At 41.2% G+C, this 7224-nt stretch overlaps 1 annotated feature.

The window, feature by feature from the left end:
* Positions 6093 to 6152: a silencer, noted in NCBI's record as "silent region_1226". NCBI's record gives its function as "represses an Ori minimal core promoter by ATAC-STARR-seq in GM12878 lymphoblastoid cells {active_cell/tissue: GM12878}" and the evidence as "EXISTENCE:reporter gene assay evidence [ECO:0000049][PMID:35858748]".

Genomic DNA, 7224 nt, shown 5'->3' with positions numbered 1-7224 from the left:
GTGAGTCCCTTTCCTCCGGTGGGGTCTTTCCTAATGTTCGAGGGTTACCCCAGACACCTGTCATCAGATGCACAAACTTTCATTATTTTTGCACCTGTGGCTGCCCTATCTTGATTGCTCCAGTACCGCAGCTGATCAAAATGTTATAACTGGAATATTCTCTTGCCCTACGATCCAGCGACAATTGCCGGCTGTGAGCAGGGAAAGCAACCAACAGGGCCAACTGAGCAATCAGGAAACGAAGAAATAATCATGTGCTCAGGGAAGCTACACAGTCCGATTTTACCAGGATGTCATATCCAGGGAATAGGTGTGTTGTGGGGGCACAACCCAATTCCCTACTCCATGATTTAGCTCCTTATGGGCAAATGCTCTGAAATACAGGGCAGTCCCACAAATAGACTCTCTGACAGCTCCTGTCTGACAGTTTGATGAAGACAAGCTTTTTTTAGATGTAGATATCTGGGTAATTGGATATAGGATTCGCAAAAGGATTGAATTACAGTAAGCCTAAGGCACTTGTATGCTAGGCCACTGAGGAAATTCAAAGTTAGCTCAGGTTCTCTTCCTTCCTCAGAAAATAAATATTCTCCTTTCTCATGACTCACACCAAATGCAAGTACGGAAATGTAAACCTGCTTTGGCTCAGTTTCCATTGTGAAGACTAAGAACTTATTACAAGTCAGGTTAACAAGGCATGCAAAACCCTACGCTGCCAATCTGAGAAGTCCCGGGGAGATAATGCTAGCCCTGGTTTACCAGCAGAAGTGTTTGTTACTGATTTACTTAGTGTCTGAGATTTTAATTCCAAGAAGGAGGAAGGTTAGCTTGATCAAAATCAACCTTAAATATACAAATTTGTTAAAGTTTGCAGGATTACAAACTCTGACTTTTTTTTTTTTTTTGAGACGGAGTCTCGCTCTGTCGCCCAGGCTGGAGTGCAGTGGCGCAATCTCGGCTCACTGCAAGCTCCGCCTCCCAGGTTCATGCCATTCTCCTGCCTCAGCCTCGCCAGTAGCTAGGACTACAGGCGCCCGCCACCACGCCTTGCCAATTTTTTTGTATTTTCAGTAGAGACGGGATTTCACCATATTAGCCAGGAACAAACTCTGACTTTTTAAAAGATTTCCTGTAATCCCAAGATGACTCAGACTGAATCTGACAATGCAGAATACCAGGCAGAGATAATCGTCTGTGATGTGCTGAAGTCCACAGTAGTGAACAACCCGAGGCAGGGGCCAGTCTGTTCTGTATCTCCAGAGAAGCCTCAGTACCTAACGCACAACTGGCCCTCAATAAACATTACTGAATGCTTATTTGTTTGCATTAAACATTATGCAAAATGACATTATTTATTAGAATGTCACATTATAAAGTGACATTCTAGTAAATAAAATATATTTTAAGATGTGTAAAATCACCTTACAAATTATAAATTTAATTATATACATGCATCTGTGACTGCTTAAATTGCTATCTTCTTTTATAGAAAGGCCTGATATAAAAAAAAATTTAGCATAGTACTTGGCACATGATAAGACCTCAATAAATATTTGTGTTTATACTCCATTTCACTCCCTGAGGAAAAAGATCTATTTTTTAAGGCTTGTTTGGTTTTTTGTTTTTAAATTTTTATTTCAATAGCTTTTTACGTACAAGTGGTTTCTGGTTATGTGGATGAATTGTATAGTACTAAAGTCTGAGATTTTGGTGCATTCATCACCCACATAGTGTACATTGTACCCAATATGTAGTTTTTTATTCCTTAGTCCCCTCCCACGTCCCCCTTCTGAGTCTCCAAAGTCCATTATACCACTTTGTATGCCTTTGCATACCCATAGCTTAGCTCCCAGCTATAAGTGAGAAGATAAGGTATTTGGTTTTTCCATTCCTGAGTAACTTCACTTAAAATAGTGGCCTCCAGCTCCATCTAAATTGCTGCAAAAGACATAATTTTATTATTTTTATGGCTGAGTAGTATTCCATGGTGTATATGTACCACATTTTCTTCATCCACTCATTGATCGATGGACAATTAGGTTGGTTCCATATGAAAGATCCTTCTTTTAATGTATGTGAGTAATTCTCCTGGTCTTACCTGGTGGGTAGGATTGTTCACTGGGTTGGTCTTCACAGTTCCATCAAAAAGCTGGTCTTCTTTCCTTTCACACCTGACATGGTAACTGAGATAGTTTGAATTTGATCTTTGGTCTGGGTTCAGAGGTAGGGAATCCCAAACACAAATGCCTACATAGGCCAGGTGGTTAATAAAATAAATCAGGATAGAGTAGAACAATGGAAAGCGATAGGGGTCTGCGGTGGATGCAAGAGTATATATCCTATCTGGGATATTCTAACTTGTTTGGGTTATTTGTTTATTTAATTTATCTTTTTTAAGCAACACTGTACTACACACAAGATTCACCCCTGCACTCTGCACTCCTGCAATACTAAAATAGTTACAGTTCCCTGCAAGACCCCCTCCCTCACCATCTTCTCTGGACCCTTGCACCGACAATGCTCACTGCTTGGACTCTCCCCTTACCTTCCACCCCTTCACTGGGCTTCTATTTGTTCTCCAAGATTTGTCTTAGCTGCTACCTGCTCCAGGGCCTTCTCTGATTCTCAAGACTGGGTGGGGGACTCTACACGATGCTTCTAGGCCACCCAGTGCTAAACTCCTACTTTAGCTCTTATCATACTGCATTTTGTTACTTTGCTTGTATCTAGCTCCTGTGGTACCAAAAGCTCCTTAAAGGAAAAGATTTACCTTGTTGGAAACAGTATTTGACATATAGTAGCTGCTTAATAAATGAATGAATGCATGCATGAATTAATGACTAAATGACGGTGGCCCCTTTTCTTATTCTACAATGTAATCCCATTCTATCTCCCATCTGCAGGCATAAGATAAAGTGAGAAAAGTAAAGTTAAATAATGAGTAAGCTCCCATTAGTTCATTTAGGAACACAACAAAAGTAGAAAAGGAATAAGGAAATTTTCCTTGGAAAGGCTGATTTCAACTCAGAAAGTGCAAAACAACAGGATAAGATGTTGTGTACTTGAAGGAAGCCACTATTCACAGCCGAAAGGTGTCAGGAATGTTGAAAAACTGCCCAATAATTAGAACATGCCGTGTAGAACTTAGAAGCCAAAAACCCATGTCTTTGAAAAAGTCATGGCTCCATCTGGCCATTTCAATTAAAAGTACATTATTTCTTAGCTGCAATTATTATCACAATACATATAGAAAGGACTAGTTCCCCAATATTAGACTGAAGGAAGAAAATAAAAGTTTATTTAACACCAACAACTCTACCACTGTAGAGCCTGTGGTCAACAAGAAAGAATGAGAAATAACCAGTGCTGTCAACGCCAGCTCTCTATGCAGCAAAGATGACCTGTTCTAGTTAAAAAATCGTACATCATAGAAGATCCTGGTTTGGGCCGGGTGCAGTGGCTCATGCCTTAATCCCAGCACTTTGGGAGGCCAAGGTGGGTTGATCACGAGGTCAGGAGTTTGAGGCCAGCCTGACCAACATGATGAAACCCCATTTCTAATAAAAATACAAAAATTAGCTGGGCATGGTGGTGGGTGCCTGTAATCCCAGCTACTCAGGAGGCTGAGGCAGGAGAATCGCTTGAACCCGGGAGGTGGAGGTTGCAGTGAGCTGAGATTGTGCCACTGCACTCCAGCCTGGGTGACAGAGCGACACCCTGTCTAAAAAAAAAAAAAGAAAAAAAATCTCGGTTTGTCGGTTTGGGCTGGGGGGAGACTATATCTGTTTCCATCTCTCTGCATGTCCACCTATCTATATTTTTACGCACTAGAATGTCGTTCTGGATCTTCCTCATTCAAATGGTGCAAGCTGGAGGGCAACCTGGAAACTTATTTTTAACAGAGACCAGTTGTCAAAATAATGAAGCTTCTGCTATGGCTTGGATGACACTTTATTTTCAAATCAAATAGTAAAAGGTGTTTCCATTTTCACATTTTCCTTCCTGGTTTAAAAAAAAAAAAGAGTTGTATTTTTATCTGAAACTTTTCCTTAAGTCTATGTGAAACTCCTTTTCCTCTGCCCTGAGCTGTGTGAGGCTGGCATATTTTTCAGTTGACACCACCAGAAAAACACTGACAGTGAGAAAGGCATTTAAGAAAGAAGACAAAGCCGAGTACAGTGGTTCATGCCTGTAATCCCGGCACTTCGGGAGGCCAAGGCAGGCAGATCATCTGAGATCAGGAGTTCAACACCAGCCTGGCCAACATGGTGAAATCCCGTCTCTACTGAAAACACAAAATTAGCTGGGCATGGTTGGGGGCACCTGTAATCCCAGCTGCTCGGGAGGCTGAGGCAGGCAGAATTGCTTGAACCCAGGAGGCAGAGGTTACAATGAGCCGAGATGGTGCAACTGCATTCCAGCCTGGGTAACAGAGTGAGATTCCTTCTCAAAGAAAAAAAAAAAAAAGCAGACATTTGGTTTTATTAATGTGTTATGCCATGGATCTAAGTGGTAACTTTATTGAGCTGTTCACCTCAGTTTCTGTGTTGTCTGAGTCAGGAGGTGGCAGGGACTAGCTGGTTGGAGGAAGTAATTGTTGCCCATTCTTGGGCACATATGGGACCGTTTTCTCCTCCTGGCCTCTATTGCTCATGACACATGACAAATATGTCTGTGTTTTAATTTAAAAAGACCCATAGCAAAGATATAGACCCAGAGATCAATGAAACAAAAGAGGAAGTACAATAATAGACTCATACAAATACAGCCATTTGATCTTTGACAACGTGTAAACACAGTTCAGTGGAGGCAACTTATCCTTTCCAGCTGGTGGTGTTGGAACAATTGGTCATCCACAGGAAAAGAAATAAACCTTAATATAGAGTTCACACCTCAGAATTATATGAAGTTAATAAAGATTAACTCAAAATAGCCCATAGATCTAAATGAATAACATAAAACTATAAAAGGTTTTAGAGGAAAAACCTTTATACAGAGAGGAACACAAAGAAATCAATAATTGTTATCTTTGGATGGTGGAATAATTATGGCTATGTGTGTGTGAATTTGTTTCGATACATGTTCTACAATGAGCATATGCTATTTACAACCAGAAAAAGGTATAAATGCTACAAATGCCATTAAAAATAAAATAAAATGAACTCGTTTCTTGATGCTTTTTATTTGCTTTTCAGTTTTGTCAACATTCGTCTGCATAATTAGAAAACAGACCCAGTCTCAATGCATTGATGTCTGAAAGCAGAAAAGTGTTATTAGCATGATTGTAAAGCATGTATTTCTGTGTTGGCTTTCTTTATTAGGATGTATCATGCTGAGGAAGAAAATATATAAATAAAAAAGAAAAATATATGTAGGTCAGAGGCAGTAATAGAACACTCATAAATCATTTTACATTACACATCTATCTTTTCAAGGTAGCTACACAATTTCAAGGGCAAGCATTTAACAGAAATATTTGAAAGTACATTGGAAAATGTTTATAGAATCTTCAGACTAGACACCAAATTCATTTCAATCCTGCTTGGTACAAGTCCTGTGGTGGGTGCCGAAAATGCAATGATACTATTGATTCCGTAGGTTCCTACTTTAGGTAAAATTAGAGAGTCAAGGCCAAAGCATAAAGATTGGGTGTCCTCAGCCTTGTAATGATGGGTCGAGTCCCAACTGGCCCAAGCCATAATTGCTTCAGGGAGGCATGGGCGGGAAGGCTGAGTGCACACTGGGGAGGTGACTGCCCAGAGAGGTGGGTGGGAGGGGTGTCCTAAGCCAGAAATAACAGCTGGGCAAAGGCATAGAGGCTTGCTCAGGGACAGGGGTCAAAGTAGAGGATGCCAGATTAGCTTGGAGAGATTACACAAAGTTCTGAATTCCAGCCTAAGGAAGGCAATAGAGAGCCTTTGGAGCATTTTGAAAGAAGATTGATATGATAGCAATCGTTCTTTAAAGTATTTGCTTTGAAGATAGTTGTCTCTGAAATTATCCATCTCTACTAACCTGTCAATCTTGAGGGCAGAGACTGTGTCTAGTTCATTGTTGCCATGGGACTCAGGGCTGCTACTAGCCACTTCAACATCACTGTGCCAATAGTGAAAGCAACCCCTCTGAGTGAACCTAGCCATGCAGGGTCAAGGCTCCATGAGCTTGCCACGCCCCTGTGAGAAAAATTATCCAGGAAGCAACAGGCCTACATAAGCACCCATGGGTTGGCCGGGAGAATATGTTAGATTTCAGCCCCACTTGCCCATCACTCAGACATCCTTGTGCTGTATGCAACCTGCATAACATTAGGTTGAGACCCTAAGGAACCACAGGGAGGGGACTGGTTTAGAGGTGAGCAGATTAGGCACTGAATTAGGCTAATGGCAGTGGGAAACGAGGGGAGAAAAGTAAGACAAGTGTCTAAGAGACATGTATATTCTCCTTGCATTTTAACAGGAATCACTGCTGTAAAGGATGCTGGGTACTGTCTATAATAAACACAGGCCTCTCTAACAAATTGCTCCATTCAGTTCCTCAATGATGTCTCTGCTAGAAAATTCTCTTCTCAAAGTCTTGTCCATAGGCATTGGCTTCTCCATAGATTGGCTCCAGTTTCTTCCATTCCCAGTTGATGATGTTTAAGCCTAAGAGCTAATAGTACATATAAATAACTGCCCTCATGCTGTCTTAAAAACAAGCTATGAAAAGTGCTAATTTTCTCTAGTGGTGGAAAGGAAATGAAGGCCGAGGGTGTTTATTTCTCTTACAGCCTTCTGAGACATCTATGGAGACCACTTCTAGCAAGGTGAGGTTCATTTTAGCCCTGGACCACTTAACATCTATTGTCCCAGAAACACTGATTTCCCCGTGGCATATCTGGTTGCTCCATCTCTTTCTCTTTCATTGGCTCTTCCTCCTCCACTGAACATTTCTCTGCTGGAGTTCCTGGTTTGGTCCTGAGTTTAACTTCACTCACCTACACATCCCACTTCGTGGTGCCATCCACTCCCACGACTTCAAATGCCCTGGGTGTGTGACTCCTTTGGATGACTCTAGTCCACACCTCTTTTCCAAACATCAGACCTTACAGCATCTTCACCACTCAGCATTTCTATTTAACTATCTTGAAGATTTCTCAAAATCAACATGGCTAAAGCCTCACGGATTGCTTTTTATTCTTATCATTAAAAAACTCTCATAGTAACAAGTACTGTGGCTCATGCC

This window comes from Homo sapiens, chromosome 1, assembly GCF_000001405.40.
Source record: "Homo sapiens chromosome 1, GRCh38.p14 Primary Assembly".
In the NCBI taxonomy this organism is placed as follows: Eukaryota; Metazoa; Chordata; class Mammalia; order Primates; family Hominidae; genus Homo; species Homo sapiens.
This window is presented reverse-complemented; position numbering and strand designations above follow the sequence as displayed.